This window comes from Homo sapiens, chromosome 14 (genome assembly GCF_000001405.40).
Source record: "Homo sapiens chromosome 14, GRCh38.p14 Primary Assembly".
NCBI classification, from domain to species: domain Eukaryota; kingdom Metazoa; phylum Chordata; class Mammalia; order Primates; family Hominidae; genus Homo; species Homo sapiens.
The window spans coordinates 45413485-45434897 of record NC_000014.9 but is presented as its reverse complement, the minus strand read 5'-3'; the positions used below and the strand labels follow the sequence as shown (position 1 = coordinate 45434897).

Below are 21413 nucleotides of genomic sequence, written 5' to 3'. Positions count from 1 at the left end.
ATATTGAGTGAAAGCAGTGGCATTTGTTTCACATTTTCAAAAACGTCTTTAACATGTGGCTTCATAAAAAACAGCTGGATTCTCATACTTGCTTCTGCATTCAATCAGTTATAAACTGTTGTTTAATGTTAAAGCATATGAATAAAATCTAGCCTATAAATCTAGCCTATATGAATAAAATCCATATAGTTGGAAAAGGGCAGAGTATTCTAAAAGCCTTTCCAGATAATTGTACACCAAGACTCAACAAATAGAAGTTCCTTAAATATTAATTACAATATATAATCTGAAACCATAACAATACACTTCTCTGTTATACTAAAATCTATTGGTCTATCTTGCATTTTGAATTTGTAACATTGTTAGAGAAGGCACACAGCCAGAAATAAACAGACAGGAGAAGCCCTGAGGAAGAGTCTTGGAGACACCTCCCACTGACAGTCAGTGCTGCTCAACTGACAGTCAACGAAAAAGACAATGGCTACACTAACTACTTGTGACCTTGTGTTTGGGCTCCTCTGGATCTGAAGGGAAATTATCAGGCCCTAGCCAGAGATAACCATGGTAGAGACTTTTCTTGCTCATGAGTACACTCACTCCCCCAGTAACTCACCCTAGAGTAAGTAGCCTTTTACTGATAATCATAGTAAAAAACAAACCCTGGGTGGAGATTTTAAATACAAATGAGACATACAACATGTGTACTACCATGTACAATCACAAAACATGCAGGTCCAAGGAAACCACCTAAAACATGATTACAAGTGATACCCCCTCATGCCCCTTCATAAATAATCATGTAAGATTCTCATAAAGAGTCCCCCAGCACTAACTGCTCCTGGCTCACTCTCTCAAGCAGCCCAATCTGCCTCATCTTTCAGAGTGTACTGCCTCTTTAAACCCTGCTGCTGCTGCTGCTGCCGCTACTTTTCAGTCAGGCCAGCCCACTTCTCTCTTGAAATCCACATAAAACAACACTAACCTTAAATGTAAATGAGCTAACTGCCACAGTTAAAAGACACAGAATGGCAATCTGGAGAAAGAACCAAGACCCATTGGTATGCCATCTTCAAGAGACCCATCTCACATGCAAAGACACCCATAGGCTCAAAATAAAGGGATGAGGGAAAACCTACCAAGCAAATGGAAAACAAAAAAGCAGAGGTTTCAGTCCTGGTTTCTGACAAAACAGACTTTAAACCAACAAAGATCAAAAAAGACAAAGAAGGGCATTACATAATGGTAAAGGGTTCCATTCAACAAGAAGAGCTAACTATCCAAAATACATATGCACCCAGTAGAGGAGCACCCAGACTCATAAAGCAAGTTCTTAGAGACTGTCTAAGAGACTTCAACTCCCACATAATAATAGTGGGAGACTTTAACATCCCACTGACAATATTAGGCAGATCATCAAGGCAGAAAATTAACAAAGATATTCAGGACCTGAACTCAGCTCTGGATCAAGTGGACCTAATCAATATCTACAGAACCTCTCCACCCAAAAACAACAGAATATACATTCCTCGCACTGCCACATGGCACTTACTCTAAAATTGATCGCATAATAAGAAGTAAAACACTCCTCAACAATTGCGAAAGAACTGAAATCATAACACTCTCAGACCACAGCACAATCAAATTAGAACTCAAGATTAAGAAATTCACTCAAAACCATACAACTACATGGAAACTGAACAACCTGCTCCTGAGTCACTTTGGGGTTAAATAATGAAATAGAAGCAGAAATCAAGAAGTTTTTTTTGAAACTAATGAGAACAAAGATACAACATACCAGAATCTCTGGGATGCAGCTAAAGCAGTATTAAGAGGGAAACTTATAGGACTAAATGCCAACATCAAGAAGTTAGAAAGATCTCAAGTTAACAACCTAACATCAAAATGAAAAGAACTAGAGAACCAAGAGCAAACAAAGCCCAAAGCTAGCAGAAGACAAGAAATAGTCAACATCAGAGCTGAACTGAAAGAGATAGAGACACAAAAAACCCTTTAAAAAATCAACAAATCCAGGAGCTGCTTTTTTAAAAAATAATAATAAAATAGATAGACTGCTAGCTAGACTAATAAAGAAGAGAGAAGATTCAAATAAATGCAATCAAAATGATAAGGATATCAGCACTGATCCCACAGAAATATGAACAACCATCAGAGAATATTACAAACACATCTATGTATATAAACTAGAAAATACTGCATACACCCTCCCAAGATTGAACTAGGAAGAAATTAAATCCCTGAATAGACCAATAATTAATTCTGAAATTGAGGCTGTAATCAATAGCCTACCAACCAAAAAAAGCCCAAGACCAGAGACAGGTACAGCTGAATTCTACCAGAGGTACAAAGAAGAGCTAATACTATTTCTACTGAAACTGTTCCAAAAAACTGAAAAACAGGAACTCTTCCATAACTCATTCTATGAGACCAGCATCAGCCTGCTACCAAAACCTAGCAGAGATACAAAAAAGAAAGGAAACTTCAGGCCAATATCCCTGACAAACACCGATGCAAAAAATGTCAATAAAATACTGGCAAATTGAATCCAGCAGCACATCCGAAAGCTTATCCACATGACCAAGTTGGTTTCATCCCCAGGATGCAAGGTTGGTTCAACATACACAAACCAATAAATGTGATTCATTACATAAGCAGAACTAAAGACAAAAACCATATGATTATCTCAATAGATACAGAAAAGGCCTTTGATAAAATTTAACATCCCTTCATTTTAAAAACTCCCAATAAACTAGATATTGAAGAAATATTCCTAAAAATAGTAAGAGCCATGTATGCCAAACCCACAGCCAATATCATACTGAATGGGCAAAAGTTGGAAGCATTCCCCTTGAAAACAAGCACAAGACAAGAATGCCCTCTCTCACCACTCCTATTTAACATAGTATTGGAAGTTCTGGCCAGGAAAATCAGGCAAGAGAAAGAAATAAAGGGTATTCAAATAGGAAGAGAGGAAGTCAAATTATCTTTGTTTGCAGATAACATGATCCTATATCTAGAAAACCCCATAGTCTCAGCCCGAAAGCTTCTTAAGCTGATAAGCAACTTCAGCAAAGTCTCAGGGTACAAAAGTCAATAGGCAAAAATCACTAGCTTTCCTATACAACAACAGGCAAGCAGAGAGCCGAATCATGAATGAACTCCCATTCACAATTGCTACAAAAAGAATAAAATACTTAGGAATACAGATAACAAGGAAAGTGAAGGACCTCTTCAAGGATAACTACAAACCACTGCTCAAAGAAATCAGAAGGACACAAACAAATGGAAAAACATTCTGTGCTTATGGATAGAAAGAATCAGTATCGTTAAAATGGCCATACTGCCCAAAGTAATGTATAGATTCAATGCTATTCCCACTAAACTACCACAGATATTCTTCACAGAATTAGAAAAAACTATTTTAGGATTCATATGGAAACAAAAAAGAGCACAAATAGCCAAGACAATTCTAAACAATCATGCTACCCGACTTCAAACTATACTAAAACGTTACAGTGGTTACAGTGGTTTTGGTTAAAACATCATGGTACTGGTACAACAACAGACACATAGACCAATGGAACAAAATAGAGAACTCAGAAATAAGACCACACACCTACAACTATTTGATCTTCAACAAACCAGACAAAAGCAATGGGAAAAGGATTCCCTATTTCATAAATGGTGCTGGGAAAACTGGCTAGCTATATGCAGAAAACTGAAGTTGGACCTCTTCCTTACATCTTATATAAAAATTAACTCAATATGGATTAAAGACTTAAATGTAAAACCTCAAACTACAAAAACCCTAGAAGAAAACCTAGGCAATACCATTCAGGATATAGGCATGGACAAAGATTTTATGACCAAGACACCAAAGCAATTGCAACAAAAGCAAAAATTGATGAACGGGATCTAATTACACTTCTAAAGAGCTTCTGCACAGCAAAAGAAACTATCAACAGAGTAAACAGCCTACAGAGTGGGAGAAAAATTTTGCAAAGAATGCATCTGGCAAAAGTCTAACATCCAGCATCTATAAAGAACGTAAACTCAATTATAAGAAAAAATACAAACCCAATTAAAAGTAGGCAAAGGACACAAACAGGCACGTTTTAAAAGAAGACATACATGTGGCCAACAATCATATGAAAAAAAGCTCACCATCACTGATCATTAGATAAATGCAAATCAAAACCACAATGAGATACCATTTCACACCAGTCAGAGTGGCTATTACTAGAAAATCAAAAAACAGATGCTGGCGAGGTTGTGGAGAAAAAGGAATGGTTATACATTGTTGTTGTGAGTGTAAATTAGTTCAACCATTGTGGAAGACAGTGTGGCAATTCCTCAAAGATCTAGAGGCAAAAATACCATTCAACCCAGCAATCTCATTATTGGACATATACGTAAAACAATATAAACCATTCTGGCAGGGATCAGTGGCTCATGCCTGTAATCCCAGCACTTTGGGAGGCCAAGGCAGGCGGATCACCTGACGTCAGGAGTTCAAGACTAGCCTGGCCAACATGGTGAAACCCTGTCTCTATTAAAAATACAAAAATCAGCTGGGCGTAGTGGTTGGCATATGTAATCCCAGCTACTTGGGAGGCTGAGACAGGAGAATCGCTTGAACTCAGAAGACAGAGGTTGCAGTGAGCTGAGATCATGCCATTGCACCCCAGCCTGGGCAATAAGAGTTTAACTCCATCTCAAAAAAAAAAAAAAGAATATAAACCACTCTATTATAAAGATACATGTACATGTATGTTCATTGCAGCACTGTTCACAATAGCAAACTCATGGAATCAACTTAAATGGCCATCAGTGATAAACTGGATTAAAAAAATGTGGCACATAAATGAGACCATGTCATTTGCAGGGACATGGATGGAGCTGGAGACCATTATCAACAAACTAATGCGAGAACAGAAAACCAAATACATGTGTTCTTACTTATAAGTGGGAGCTGAATGATGAGAACACATGGACATGTGGGAGAAAACAACACACACTGGGGCCTGTCAGAGGGTGGGGGGTGGGAGGAGGGAAAGCATCAAGAAAAATAGCTAATGGACGCTGAGCTTAATACCTAGGTGATGAGATGATCTGTGCAGCAAATCACCATGGTACACATTTACCTATGTAACAAACCTGCACATGTAACCCTGAACTTAAAATAAAAGTTGGAAATTTAAAATAAAAAGAAATGTACTTTACCTTCCTTCAATAAACTCTGCTACTTAATCAGATTAGGTTTGTAGCATTCATTAGACACTGAAAGGGGCTCTGATCTTCTCCCAAAAAAAGGCTGCAAATTATGTATCCTCTACCCAGAAAAATCTGTTTTCTTGTTATTATTATTATCATTAGTATTTTTAAAATGTAATATTTTTCTGCTCTGTTCAAAATGTGTGATGTATTTCAAATTTAAAATAGAAAACAATTTTAAAGTGATGCAAACAAAAAAACAGTAAAGTGAATGATAACATGCAGAGATCACAAAGAGCAAATAGGTCCTTTAAGTTGGGATAAACTTCAATGACTGCTACATACAGTAATTCAAAAAGTGCTGTAAATGAAACAACTTTGATCTTTTAAAAAAGATTATTTGTGCAGGAGATGTATGATCAATGACTCAAAATAGACCTCTCAAAACAACAGTGAAGTAGTTTTATAAAATTAGGAAAAGAATAATTTAAAAATAATAGATTTCAAGTTTGTGTGTAACTAATTCAATATTTTTTAAATAAACTGAAATATTTCATTTGGATCCTTAAAAGTTTATATATGTATATTTATATTTGAGGTTAACTTGTATTTGTGCACATATTGGGATCTACCAAGGTAATCTAGTTAGTGTGTAGCCTATGAAAAGGACATGACTTAAATAAATCAGAGTACTTATATATGATGAAAAACTATGCAGTCTTTAAAAGTTATTTAGAAATTCCTATTTATTGACATAGAAAGGCATATATTGATAAGTAGAAAAAAGCAGTTACCTCATAACATGTATGACACAGCCTTATTTATGTGAAATAATTATATATGTAAATATATAAATGGAGAGAGAGAGATGGAAGGGCCCCCATAAATGTTAATAGTAATTGCCTTCTTTTGAAATGGTATCAGGTGATTTTTACATTTCTTGCTATACTTCTCTATATTACAATTTTTTTCAACAATCCTGCATCATTTTATAAAATTGATCAACATTTTTTAAAGAAACGAAAATTATATGTCTTTCAGATATTACATAGATTCCTATGCAACCATAATTTCTCAATGATAACAGAGCATGACATCATGGTAAATATTCCTGACCTTAATTGCAGTGGCATTTATATTAGTAGTTAGAACATCAAAGAGAAGAAAGAAAAAGAAAATCTCCCAGAACCTAACAATCCACTGAAGAATATTTAAATGCATGAGATTTTAGCCCGATGTAGCTCCATGTGAATCTGCTGCTTCACTTCAAACTACTATTAATATGACTATACTACTGTACTTACTCCCTGACATTAGCAAATATCAATTCACTACATATTATATTAAATGTGATGGCAATTTAAACCATGCATATACTATGATCCTTGCTGTGATGCCATGTTCTTGAATAACCACAATTCGAATTAGGATGGAGAAGTATCCTGTAAGGCAACTGACATGTTTCAAAAGTTCCAAAGAAAAGATCACTTTCAACCCCACTGAGCAAAAGCATTCAAAGGAGGTGGTGGTGTCTCAGCCATGCTGGGAAAAATTAGAATTCCAGGATACTAAACTAAACAGAGAAAAGACCTCCCAGAAGAGGAAGAATAAAACCCAGTCCACATATTCAGATGTATAAGAAAAATACATTTCTTTTCTACAACAACTTTTATCCCAAGCCCCCAGGATATGGAGTAATAGAAAATACTTGATGCTAGTCTTACCCTTTCCCAAATTTATATGAAGTGCCAAGGCACTGGAGTTTGTGGGGGAAGTGATTAATAAGGAATGGCCCAGTCCACACGGGTGGTTTGTTACTGTGACATTCATTATCTCTGATGACTTGGCCTCTTCAGTTTTTATGGCTCTCTGCCATTTCCATAAACAACTTTGGGAGAGAAATGTTATATAATGCCAGAGGATTCCCACTCCCTCTGTAGGGTTTTGCAGCCACCCTAATGGCACTGGAAGCAAGCCCTAGGTCCTTCTTGCCCCAGGTCCCTCTTTTCCCTGGTCCCATGGGCCTCTATCCCTTTTTACTTCCCATCCTGAAGAAAGTTCTTTCTAGTCTGGGACATGGTATATAACCTTGATGTCTTCCCAGCTTCTGATCAGCACTTGTTCTATTCCCATAAATCCTCTTCATATTAAGATTTAGAATTTTGAAACACAATACTCAGAGAGATTCACAACATGCATCTATTTCCTGTCCTGCTACATTCCTCCTCTGAAGCAATGAGCCCAAAATTGACTGCTTGCTTGAGTAGGCGGTGATAAAAAATATAGAAATATTGTTTCAAAGATAATGCCAGCCATAATGCCTTAAAAGGTTTTCAGTCAAGTCCTTGTACCATAAGTATAATTAAAAATCAACTAAATACCAAGAAATCTGCCCCTGAGGGATTAATCTAAGAGATTCTCTTCTTCTCCTGTGGAGATACTGCAGGAAAAAAAAAATCCTTCTACAATACTTGTCCATCTGAAAGCACATACAAAAAAAGCAAGTTGCTCACAGACCAATCTTGACTTAAAGTTATGTTATTATTTTACAAATATAGGGGAAGTGTGCTCAATAAATTTTTAAGTCACATTCTCTAGGAAGACTCAGAATAAAAGTCATTTCCTCTAAGAACACACGGGTTATATTAGTATTAAATCATTTACTCATGGTATAGCCAGGAGGTACTAGAACTAGGATCCCCTACTGTGACCCCAGAGCAAATTCAGCAACAGGAAAGAGATCCTTCAAGTTAATAGCAGCTTTATATAGAGAATGTACCATTAGTGCCACCTAGTGGTTGTATTGAAAAAATCCTGAGGTTTGAGTTTGTGAGTGAAATCTGAGCAGTAAGGAGGTTCCTGAGTATATTTCCACGTGTTTCAATCAGGGAAATGCACCCTGGTACATTCCCACATGTTTCAATCAGAGAAACATAGCTGCTTCTGGAAAATACTACAGCTTGGCAGCCAGGCACCAAGTCTGATTTTCATCCTGTTCAAGTCTTAGAATCTATCTCCCCATAAGTTTCCTCTGTCTTCTTTTAACATTGTATCATTTATATTCCTCAATTTTATTTTATTCCTAACATTCTTTCACCTTCAGTATCCAAATTATCAGTAAGAATCTTCTCCTCCTCCTATTATGAACAACTATAAGCTCACAAACTAGAAAATCTAGATGAAATAGATAAATTCCTGGAAACACACAACCTACCAAGATTGAAACAGGAAGAAATAGAACTAACTCCTGAACAGACCAATAACGAATAGCGAGATTTAATCAGGAATATAAAAACCTCTCAACCAAAAAAAACAGCCGAGGACCAGATGAATTCACAGCCAAATTCTATCAAATATACAAAGAATTAATACCAATCCTCTTGAAACTATTCCAAAAAATCAAGGAGGAATGAATTTTCTTTAACTCATTCCACAATGTCAGTACCTCCCTCATGCCAAAATCAGATAAGGATAAAATAAAAAAAAGAAAACTACAGACCAATATCCCTGATGAACACAGATGTAAAATTCCTCAACAGAATACTAGCAAACCAAATTCAACAGCACATCAAAAAGATAATATACCATGAATAGGTGGGATTCATCACAGGAATGCAAGGATGGTTCAACATATGCAGATCAATAAATATGATATATCATATTAACAGAATTAAAAACAAAAACCATATGATCATCTCAATACAGAAAAAGGATTTGATTAAATTCAGCACACCCTTCATGATAAAAATTTTCAACAAGCTAGGCATAGAAGGAATGTACCTCAACACAATACAGGTCATGTATGACAAAACCACAACCAACATCATACTTAATGGGGAAAAATTGAAAGCATTCCCTTGTTAAAAGAAAAACTTCAGCTGAATTAAATTTAAAGGAGTTTAATTGAGCAAAGAACGATCTGTGAATCAGGTAGCCCCCAGAATCACAGCAGATTTGGAGAGACTACAGAGATGCCTCGTGGTAAAAACAAATTTATAGACAAAAAAAAAAAGGAAAGTGACATACAGAAATCAGAAGTGAGATACAGAAACAACTGGATTGGTTACAGCTCGGCATTTGCCTTATTTGAACACAGTTTGAACACTCAGCAGTGTATGAGTGGTTGAAGTATGGCTGCTGGAATTGGCCAAGACTCAGCTATTGTTGCATACGCCAAAGTTAGGTTTTCAATCTTGTCTACCTATCAAGCTAGTTTGCAGTTCATCCACAAGGACTCAAATATAGAAGTATATTCTCAGGCCACATTTAGTTTGCTTTAACAATTCTCCCCTTTTGGTCATTTTCTCAATTTTGAGAGATTGACCAAAACTTCAATTATTGATGTCATATTACCATCATTAATATACTTTTTGGTTTTGAAACCCACTTGGAAACAGTAGAACAGTGAATTTTTCAAAGGTAGGAACAAGGACTGAGTAGAGGGTACCTCTTTATGCTGCAGCATCCTGTTTACAGGAGAAAAACAAAACCTGGTTCATTCTAGGATCTATGAGTTTACTTAAAGTGTCAGTTTGATTATGTCACATTTAGCAAAAGCAACTCCATTTTTGTTTGGTTTGGTTTCTTGGGGCCTAGTGCATAAGCTCAATCCAAAACAATGGACATCCATAATTTTGTTTTAAAAAAAAAATCTGGCCGGGCATGGTGGCTCACCCCTGTAATCCCAGCACTCTGGGAGGCCAAAGCAGAAGGATCACCTGAGGTCAGGGATTCAAGACCAGCCTGGTCAACATGGTGAAAGCCCACCTCTGCTAAAAATACAAAAATTAGCTGAGTGTGGCAGCACATCCCTGGAGTCCCAACTACTCAGGAGGCTGAGGCAGGATAATCACTTGAACCCAGGAGGCAGAGGTTACATTGAGCGGAGATCATGCCACTGCACTCCAGCCTGGGCGACAGAGTGAGATTCCATCTCAAAAAAAAAAAGACAAAAAAAAAACCAAAAACTTTTTCATCAGGTTCTCACTTAGGTGAGAGTGTTACCAAAATTTAGTCACTCAGTGCCACTCTCAGTTACCATCATTTTGGGTTTCTGGTCTCAGGTTGTCATTCATAAGCTACAGTGTCCTCATGGTCACACATTTCTTTCAGTTCTTGTCATTCCAGTTGAAGAGAGACCATTTGGCATTCTAGACATGGCTGCATGCAAACACTTAAAACATTTGAGAGAATACAGTGCACCAGAGAATATTATGACTATTGAGAGGATAATACCAAGAGTTTGGAGTATGCTCCTTACCATGGGTTCCCATAAACCAAACCACCTAAAATCAAATAGATCAAAGAATGAGCTAGATAAAGAGTCTAGTTGCTTAACTAACTAGTCTTTTCATTAATCCCCTACAACTGAATCTCTATAATACCCAGTGTCTTCTCCATAGGCCATAAGTGCCAGCAGCTGCACATATACTTCTCTATTTAGCCAATTCTATTATTTAGCATCATTTTCACATGAGAATTTAAAGTCTGTTGTGTAACTATAGCCTGTACAGTAGAATCTACTGTAGTTCCTCTCATAAGGGAGACATTTCTAATCATTGCCTCTTTTACTCCAACTATGGGAAAAAAAAAAAAAACGTACTATGCCCTTCTAGAAGAGTAAAGGCCTCCTGGCAATGTTCCCTTTAACCATAATATGGGTTAAGAGAAGTGAACCAATGTTCTGTTTCTGACTGATTATGAGGCAATGTATGTACCATTAAAGTTTCTCACCTACATTGGGTCTTCATCTTTATCAAAGTATAAGGTTATCCATGTATTAAGGCTGGCTGCAAAATAATTCATAAATAAAAGTAAATACATGCACATAACAGACTCCCTTTTCACTTCTATTGTTCATAAAGGCATAAGCAAGGAAAAAAATATCCAAAGATAAGAGTCTCGTAATAGTAAAAGTCTTGACCCATGATCTTGGAAAAAGCTGTTCACATCAAGGATGCCATCCTCTTCTGGGCAGAAATTTCTGTGGTTAGCTTTACCTTAAGGGTTCCAATGAGTGTACTGTTCCAAGAGTATGCAGGGACCCCCTTTTCAGTTGTGAGATTATGAACCCATGGTTCAAGGCCCAAAGTTTTGCTGTAGTATAGACATCAAGGGCAGTCTTTCTCTGATGTTATCGGAAGAGTCAATCTTTGAGTTCTAGATTGTGAAGGGGTTGATTGTCCTCAATCAGTGAATCATAAAAAGCTTTCTTTACCTGATGAAAATACACTGTAGTATAATAATTCACTTTATAATATCAGCCCTCTTGCATGGGAAAGCTTTTAAACAACCAGAAAAAATGCATTGAAAATGACAATTGAATGAAATCCCTTTATAAATATTTAAAGAGTCCATTAGGTAGCCAAATGTACCTGAAGCTTTGATTGTCTTCCCAGGAATATGAGTTTGACAAACCAAACATTGGTCATAAACTATTTTAGCAATTTAGAAGTCACCACACCAATATATATTTAATTTGGACCTTTAATTTTATCTTTTCCATGATGAGTCATGGAATGCAGAACCTTTAATAACAAAAGCTTTAAGGACTCGGGAAGAACACGGTGGCCATCCTGGTTCTCCATATGTCCATGCTTAATTAACATTAGACTTACATCCTCTTGAATACTGGTTGCTTCTCCAAATTAGGTGCATAGCACTGAAAACTGATGGGTTATCGTAAATAAATTGACTTAGACCATGAGTTCATTCAAATTGTATATCTAAATAATTTTAGTATCAGCTAATTTAGCATGAAAATCTGGCAAGGCATTTTCTTGGTATTTAATTAATTTTTGTTCTACTTGGTTTAGCAGTTTTATAACCCAGTCAGTCTTTTCATTACCCAGTTCAAATAATATGATTCTAAAATTATTAGAAACCTGTATTCAAGAGTGCTTTTCAGGAGCATTTCTAGCCTTTCATGAATCTCCTAAAAGACACCATATTCAAGGATTTTGTGTGCTTGTGAAGTTTTCAGAAACTGCAACAGCATTAAGCAATTAACTGTGGAAATGACTTTAAATAGTAATAGTCAAAAACACAATTGATAAGGAAATTTGGTTATTTCTATGGTTTATGGTAACAACCTAATAACCATAATTATGACTGATAACATATACTCAGACATATTAAAATTTTAGAAATCCCATACAGTTTTGGAACATATCGATGACATACACGAAAATACAACCTGAAGAAGGTTAATCATTATCTTTTATTTTGACAATGCTTCCCATGGAACTTAACATGTCAAATAGCCCTATTTATCTCTCTTTTGGATGCTTCAGGGGCCCTCTGTAGGATCTCAAAGTTAGAGGTCAGAAAATACAATTTTGAAGCTGAAATTTTATTTTGGAAAGCCTATCAAATATGTTAAAGGTTTAAAACACTTGATTCTATGAAACAGAATTCCAGGTTACCATAAGTCATTCATTTCGCCAAAATGATGACTTGAACATTGTTAAAAAGGCAAAAACCTTTACTCATTGATAGAGGGAGGACTTAGCTTTCCAAACAATCTGTGTCTTTTCTTTCCCTTCTTTTTTCAGTAGTTTATTCAAAAGGCAAACAATAATCTTTCATTATCCTAATATTACATGAAAATCTTGTTCAAGAGAAAGCTAAATTTCACCCTTGCATCAGTGTATCACTAATGTCAACCCTAATTCTTAATAAAACCTTATAAACAAATTGATTCAATCTTAATCAGTTTGACCACAATGTAAAGTTCTCATACATCTTTTATAACCCTTTATAAATTTTTGTTAAAGAGATTAGTGTTCTAGAAAAACCCATTGTGCTTTTATTTTAATGTTTAATTTACAGAAAAACCTTTAAATTTAGTCAATATGTTCACAGTTTCTTTACAAGAATGATCTTTACAAACCTTTCACAATTTGTTTAAACCTTTAGCTTTATCTCATCCAGTTTAAAACAATCCTTTAACCCTCTGAACTAGGCAAAAATGTATATTCCCATGCCTTCTTATAATTTTTACCAAAAAAACACATTTCACTCTCCTCACACACCTTGCATATAGAACAATTTTTTTGGTGGTCTCATTTGTTATAATGGTAACTCTTAGCAATTTTTAATATTGGTGAAAAATCTTGGTAAGTGAAGGATTTTAATTGTGTACTAGGTGTGGAGCCTAGGACACCAGACAAGGTCTGACTCTTTCCAGCGTAGCTAGGACCATGGCTTTCCACACATCTCAAAGCCTTATCTAGAATCAAATGCTCCAAACTAGGTAAATTAGGGAACAATTTTTAAAAGTCAAAGAAGCAGTTTATGATCTTAAAGCACTTAGCAAACTTAATATCTGACCTGCCTAATTTAGACCAAATGTCTTTATTTTTGCCAATAATCTTTAAAATTTTTATTTCCCAAAGATTACTAAAGTCACATAAACTAAAAGTCATTACAGTTTTTATTTTTCTTTCTTTTTTTTTTTTTTTTTTTGTGAGACAGAGTCTTGCTCTGTGGCCTAGGCTGGAGTGCAATGGCATAATCTTGGCTCACTGCAACCTCTGCCTCCCAGGTTCAAGTGACTCTCCTGGCTCAGCCGCCCAAGTAGCTGGGATTACAGGCACACACCACCACTCCTGGCTAATTTTTTGTATTTTAGTAGAGACAGGGTTTCACTGTGTTGCCAGGGCTGGTCTCCAACTCCTGAGCTCAGGCAATCCACCCACCTTGGCCTCCCAAAGCGCTAGGATTACAGGCGTGAGCCACCACGCCCAGCCTAGTTTTTATTTTTCTTATAAAATATTTGATCTAAGCACTTATTTTTCTTTAATACAGTTAATTAGAGCTCTTTTATATAAACATTACACACATGACACATATATAACTACTCAGATAGACAGAAGAAGATCCAGTAACTGTAAGATTTTTTCATTTGCCAGTTTCTAAGTTTCTCTTTAAAGCATGCAGTTTTTATGGCCTAATAAGCAGGCACAGGTGGAAGACAAAAACAAATCTCAAAAATTAAAGGTCCCATTTTTACATCACATCCTGGATCCCAAAAAGGAAGGAAATGCTATGCGACAAGACAGTGCAATGCTTTTACTGTGCATTTTATCACATAGCATCCCAAAGCCAATTAGCACATTCTGCAATCAGCCTATCCTTAAAAGTATATCTCCTACTTAGTTGTTACACACCAAAGCTCTCTCATAATGCAAAGTAATTTGTGATACGCCCAAAAGTCAAAAACATCAGATAATGCAATGCAAAACAGAGCAGAGTCTTAGATTTTGAGGAAGATATATCCACTTTTAATTCCTAAGTTTTCATGACAAAAACAGAGGGTTTTTTTCAAAACAGGATCTATGGTGCCTCCTTTGCTTTTCCCAAGGAGTCCCAAATTGTTAGAGCTTGAATATCCACTATTAATTAAGGTGACTTTTAAAAATAACCCTCTTTATAAAAGTATTTTTAAATCTCTTATTACCCGACTTAAGCCACACCAAGTGGACAATATTTCTGGCTTTTAAACTTTACCAAAAGTAACCTCACAAGTGAAACCAAAAAGCTTCAATTAAGGTTATGACTTAATCATGAGTGCACGAGGTATTTTCAAAGAAGTGGTAAGCAGTTTTTACAATCTAGAATCTTTAAACATAGCTCAGAGAAAGGAAGGTATAAGAAGGGAAACTAGAAGTTGTTCGTGGAGGGGAATCAGCAAATGGTAAAGGTCACACAGATATCAACCAGAGTACTCATTCCCTAAGCCAGAATTGAACCTGGGCCACCATTGTAAAATGGCAGAGACCAAAAGAAAGTACTGCCACATGGTAACAAAGTCAAGCTCCCAAGCACGTAAAACAAAATGGAGACCTATCCAGTTTTGGGGGGTGTGTGGGTGTGGGTGTGTTTTCAGAGACGTGTAGCAAAGTTTGTAACTGATCAGTTTGCCAGGCTGGCTTGAACAGCGGGGTTATGGGGTCCTAAGCCCATGTTCTAGCTTAAGATATTCCTCCTTATGACAGAACCATACAGAAAGACATAAAAAGCACACCAGATTGGCTACAGCTTGAGACTAGCCTCACAAATGCTTTTTTTCAATTAATCAAAATTTTACAGAGGATATAAACAGGAATCTTTATTATTCATTCAACAGGTTTGCACAGAGACAGAGAGGCCAGAAGTCTAACTGGTAAGCAATTCTTACCTTTTTGCCAACATGTCAGGTTTTGGAGTTCCTCTTCCCTGAGTGGCCCTAGCAACCACTGAGAGGCAAGCTGCATCACAATGGAAAATCACAGAACCACAAGCAAAATCCTCTTACTTTTGCAAGATGCTACCCAGGGGGTGGCATGGGGTAACCAAATTAACATTTTCCATTCTGGCCAGAGCAAAATATGTGTGCTTTAAATAAAAATATTGAAATCTGGCCGGGCGCGGTGGCTCACGCTTGTAATCCCAGCACTTTGGGAGGCCGAGGCGGGCGGATCACGAGGTCAGGAGATCGAGACCATCCTGGCTAACACGGTGAAACCCCGTCTCTACTAAAAATACAAAAAAAATTAGCCGGGCGTGATGGTGGGCGCCTGTAGTCCCAGCTACTCGGGAGGCTGAGGCAGGAGAATGGCGTGAACCCGGGAGGCGGAGCTTGCAGTGAGCCGAGATTGCGCCACTGCACTCCCGCCTGGGCCACAGAGCGAGACTCCGTCTCAAAAAAAAAAAAAAAAAAAAAAAATATTGAAATCTTTTTAGAAGCTTCTGCATATCAATTGGCATCCCTAGATGAGACTAATTTGGGAGCCATCTTTCCTTTTTTACTTTTTTTTTTTTAATGCACTTCAATGCACTGTTGTTCATTTGGAATGTTCCACTGTAAGTTACCTTTAGTAATGTTTTGCCATTTCCGTAAGACTTTGCTCCCTCCCAGGCCTAACATATAAGCCAGAAGGAACTCAGTTTTCCAGAAATTAAGAATTCTATTTTTAACTAAAATATCGGCTTTGCTTTCAGGTTCCGTTAGTGAACTTAGCCAATGATTTTTTTTCTACCTAAGCATGCAAGAAAAATGAAACAAAGGGGTAGAACACAAAAATCCCTGTGAATTTTCAAAAGCCAAATTTTACAGCCCCTGCAATATTACCATTTACTACCAGTTTATCTCCAACCCAGTCAGATGTAAGTGGCCTGTTACTGGATCCAAATCAGTTAATTACTGGATCAAATCCCATCCTGAACCCAGTCTAATATCTGTCGCAACTTCCAAACCCAGTTTGGAACAGAAATTTGCTCAAAGAAACTTAGAGAGCTCAAAACACAAATCCATGGAGCTCTGAAATCTGAGAGAGAACTTACCATGATCTCCAGCTGCTGAGAGATCAAAGGACACAAGTAGCTCCAGCAGATACCTTGCTTGTTCACTCAGCACTCCTGGGGTTCTTATAGAGGCTCTACTTCAGACCCCACTTCTAACACCATCTGTTAAAAAAAAAAAAAAACTTCAGCTGAATTAAATTTAAAGGAGTTTAATTGAGCAAAGAACAATTCGTAAATCAAGCAGCCCCCAGCATCACAGCAGATTCAGAGAGATTGCAGGGATGCCTCGTGGTAAGAACAAATTTATAGACAAAAAAAGGGAAGGAACATACAGAAATCAGAAGAGAGGTACAGAAACAACTGAATTGGTTACAGCTCCGAATTTGCCTTATTTGAACACAGTTTGAACACTCAGCAGTGTATGAGTGGTTGAAGTATGGCGGCTGAGATTGGCCAAGACTCAGCTATTGTTACAGATGCATACTCCTAAACTAGGTTTTCTTTTTATTATTATTATTATACTTTAACTTCTAGGGTACATGTGCACAACGTGCAGGTTTGATACATAGGTATACATGTGCCATGCTGATTTGCTGCACCCATCAACTCGTCATTTACATTAGGTATTTCTCCTAATGCTATCCTTGCCTCAGCACTCCAACTCCCAGATAGGCCCCTGTGTGTGATGTTCCCCACCCTGTGTCCAAGCGTTCTCATTGTTCAATTCCTACCTATGAGGGAGAACATGCTGTGTTTGGCTTCCTGTCTTTGTGATAGTTTGCTGAGAATGATGGTTTCCAGCTTCATCCATGTCCCTGCAAAGGACACGAACTCATCCTTTTTTTTTTTGGCTGCATAGTACTCCATGGTGTATATGTGCCACATTTTCTTAATCCAGTCTATAATTGATGGACATTTGGGTTGGTTCCAAGTCTTTGCTATTGTGAATAGTGCCACAATAAACATACGTGTGTATGTGTCTTTATAGTAGCATGCTTTATAATCCTTTGGGTATATACCAAGTAATGGGATTGCTGGGTCAAATGGCACTTCTAGCTCTAGATCCTTGAGGAATCGCCACACTGTCTTCCACAATGGTTGAACTAGTTTACAGTCCCACCAACAGTGTAAAAGCATTCCTATTTCTCCACATCCTCTCCAGCAGCTGTTATTCCCTGACTTTTTTTTTTTTTCTTTTGAGATGGAGTCTCGCTCTGTCGCCCAGGCTGGGGTGCAGTGGTGCCATCTCAGCTCACTGCAAGCTCCGCTTCCCGGGTTCACACCATTCTCCTGCCTCAGCCTCCCAAGTAGCTGGGACTATAGGTGCCCTACCACACCCAGCTAATTTTTTGTATTTTTAGTAGAGATGGGGTTTTACCATGTTAGTCAGGATGGTCTTGATCTCCTGACCTCATGATACACACGCCTCAGCCTCCCAAAGTGTGGGGATTACAGGCATGAGCCACCCTGCCCAGCTGTTTCCTGACTTTTTAATGATCACCATTCTAACTGGTGTGAGATGGTACCTCATTGTGGTTTTGATATGCTCTTCTCTGATGACCAGAGATGATAAGCATTTTTTCATGTATCAATTGGCTGCATAAATGTCTCCTTTTGAGAAGTGTCTGTTCATATCCTTCGCCCACTTTTGATGGGGTTGTTTTTTGTTTTCTTTTTCTTGTAAATCTGTTTGAGTTCTTTGTACATTCTGGATATTAGCCCTTTGTCAGATGGGTAGATTGCAAAAATTTTCTCCCATTCTGTAGGCTGCCTGTTCACTCTGATGGTAGTTTCTTTTGCCATGCAGAAGATCTTTAGTTTAATTAGATCCCATTTGTCAATTTTGGCTTTTGTTGCCATTGCTTTTCGTGTTTTAGTTATGAAGTCCTTGCCCATGGCTATGTCCTGAATGGTATTGCCTAGGTTTTCTTCTAGGGTTTTTATGGTTTTAGATCTAACATTTAAGTCTTTAATCCATCTTGAATTAATTTTTGTATAAGGTGTAAGGAAGGGATCCAGTTTCAGCTTTCTACATATGGCTAGCCAGTTTTCCCAGCACCATTTGTTAAATAGGGAATCCTTTCCTCAATCTGCTTGTTTTTGCCATATTTGTCAAAGATCACATGGTTGTAGATGTGTGGTATTATTTCTGAGGCCTCTGTTCTCTTCCATTGGTCTATATCTCTGTTTTGGAACCAGTACCATGCTGTTTTGGTTACAGTAGCCTTGTAGTATAGTTGAAATTCAGGTAGTGTGATGCCTCCAGCTTTGTTCTTTTTGCTTAGGATTGTCTTGGCAATGTGGGCTCTTTTTTGGTTCCATATGAACTTTAAAGTAGTTTTTTCCAATTCTGTGAAGAAAGTCATTGGTAGCTCAATGGGGATGGCATTGAATCTATAAATTACCTTGGGCAGTATGGCTATTTTCACTATATTGATTCTTTCCGTCCATGAGCATGGAATGTTCTTCCATTTCTTTGTGTCCTGTTCTATTTTGTTGAGCAGTGCGCTGTAGTTCTCCTTGAAGAGGTCCTTTCCATCCCTTGTTAGTTGGATTCCTAGGTATTTTATTCTCCTTGAAGCAATTGTGAATGGGAGTTCACTCATGATTTGGCTCTCTATTTGTCTGTCATTGGTGTATATGAATACTTGTGATTTTTGCACATTGATTTTGTATCCTGAGACTTTGCTGAAGTTGCTTATCAGCTTAAGGAGACTTTGAGCTGAAATGATGTGGTTTTCTAAATATACAATCATGTCATCTGCAAACAGGGACAATTTGACTTCCTCTTGTCCTAACTGAATACCCTTTATTTCTTTCTCTTGCCTGATTGCCCCGGCCAGAACGTCCAACACTATGTTGAATAGGAGTGGTGAGAGAGGGCATCCTTGTCTTGTGCCAGTTTTCAAAGGGAATGCTTCCAGTTTTTGCCCATTCAGTATGTTGTTGGCTGTGGGTTTGTCATAAACAGCTCTTATTATTTTGAGATGCGTTCCATCAATACCTAGTTTATTGAGAGTTTTTAGCATGAAGGGCTGTTGAATTTTGTCGAAGGCCTTTTCTGCATCTATTGAGATAATCATGCGATTTTGTCATTGGTTCTGTTTATGTGATGGATTATGTTTATTGATTTGTGTATGTTGAACCAGCTTTGCATCCCAGAGATGAAGCTGAGTTGATCATGCTGGATAAGCTTTTTGATGTGTTGCTGGATTCAGTTTGCCAGCATTTTACTGAAGATTTTCACATCGATGTTCATCAGGGATATTGGTCTAAAATTCTCTTTTTTTGTTGTGTCTCTGCCAGGCTTTGGTAGCAGGATGGTGCTGGCCTCATAAAATGAGTTAGGGAGGATTCCCTCTTTTTCTATTGATTAGAATAGTTTCAGAAGGAATGGTACCAGCTACTCTTTGTACTTCTGGTAGAATTCGGCTGTGAATCCGTCTGGTCCTGGACTTTTTTTGATTGGTAGGTTCTTAATTATTGCCTCAGTATCAGAGCTTGTTATTGGTCTAGTCAGAGATTCCACTTCTTCCTGGTTTTGTCTTGGGAGGGTGTATGTGTCCAGGAATTTATCCATTTCCTCTAGATTTTCTAGTTTAATTGTGCATAATTGTTTATAGTATTCTCTGATGGTAGTTTGTATTTCTGTGGGATCAGTGGTGATATCCCCTTTATCATTTTTTATTGAGTCTATTTGATTCTTCTCTCTTTTCTTCTTTATTGGTCTTGCTAGTGGTCTATCAATTTTGTTGATCTTTTCAGAAAACCAGCTCCTGGATTCATTGATTTTTTGAAGGGTTTTTTATGTCTCTATCTCTCAGTTCTGCTCTGATCTTAGTTATTTCTTGCCTTCTGCTAGCTTTTGAATGTGTTTGCTCTTGCTTCTCTAGTTCTTTTAATTGTGATGTTAGGGTGTCCATTTTAGATCTTTCCTGCTTTCTCTTGTGGGCGTTAATTTCCCGCTACACACTGCTTTAAATGTGTCCCAGAGATTCTGGTACGTTGTGTCTTTGTTCTCATTGGTTTCAAAGAACATCTTTATTTCCGCCTTCATTTCATTATTTACCCAGTAGTCATTCAGGAGCAGGTTGTTCAGTTCCCATGTAGTTGTGCAGTTTTGAGTGAGTTTCTTAATCCTGAGTTCTAGTTTGATTGCACTGTGGTCTGAGAGACAGTTTGTTATAATTTCTGTTCTTTTACATTCGCTGAGGAGTGCTTTACTTCCAACTATGTGGTCAATTTTGGAATAAGTGTGATGTGGTGCTAAGAATGTACATTCTATTGATTTGGGGTGGAGAGTTCTGTAGATGTCTATTAGGTCTGCTTGGTGCAGAGCTGAGTTCAAGTCCTGGATATCCTTGTTAACCTTCTGTCTCATTGATCTGTCTAATATTGACAGTGGGGTGTTAAAGTCTCCCACTATTACTGTGTGGGAGTCTAAGTCTCTTTGTAGGTCTCTAAGCACTTTCTTTATGAATCTGGGTGCTCCTGTATTGGTGGCATATATATTTAGGATAGTTAGCTCTTCTTGTCGAATTGATCCCTTTACCATTAGGTAATGGCCTTCTTTGTCTCTTTTGATCTTTGTTGGTTTAAAGTCAGTTTTATCAGAGACTAGGATTGCAACCCCTGTTTTTTTTTTTGTTTTTTTTTTTTTGTTTTTTTTTGCTTTCCATTTGCTTGGTAGATCTTCCTCCATCCATTTATTTTGAGCCTGTGTGTCTCTGCACGTGAGATGGGTCTCCTGAATACAGCACATTGATGGGTCTTGACTCTTTATCCAATTTGCCAGTTCAATTGGGGCATTTAGCCTATTTACATATAAGGTTAATTTTGTTATGTGTGAATTTGATCCTGTCATTATGATGTTAGCTGGTTATTTTGCTTCATAC

General features: G+C 37.4%; 1 long non-coding RNA gene across 1 annotated transcript in view; it reads right to left on the bottom strand.

The window, feature by feature from the left end:
- The window catches only part of LOC105370476 (uncharacterized), a 166495-nt gene that overhangs the window by 134950 nt on the left and 10132 nt on the right, over window positions 1-21413 (bottom strand). The window contains exon 2 of the long non-coding RNA XR_943820.3: window positions 16558-16680. This is a non-coding gene — a long non-coding RNA (uncharacterized LOC105370476). The remainder of the gene's footprint in view (window positions 1-16557; window positions 16681-21413) is intronic.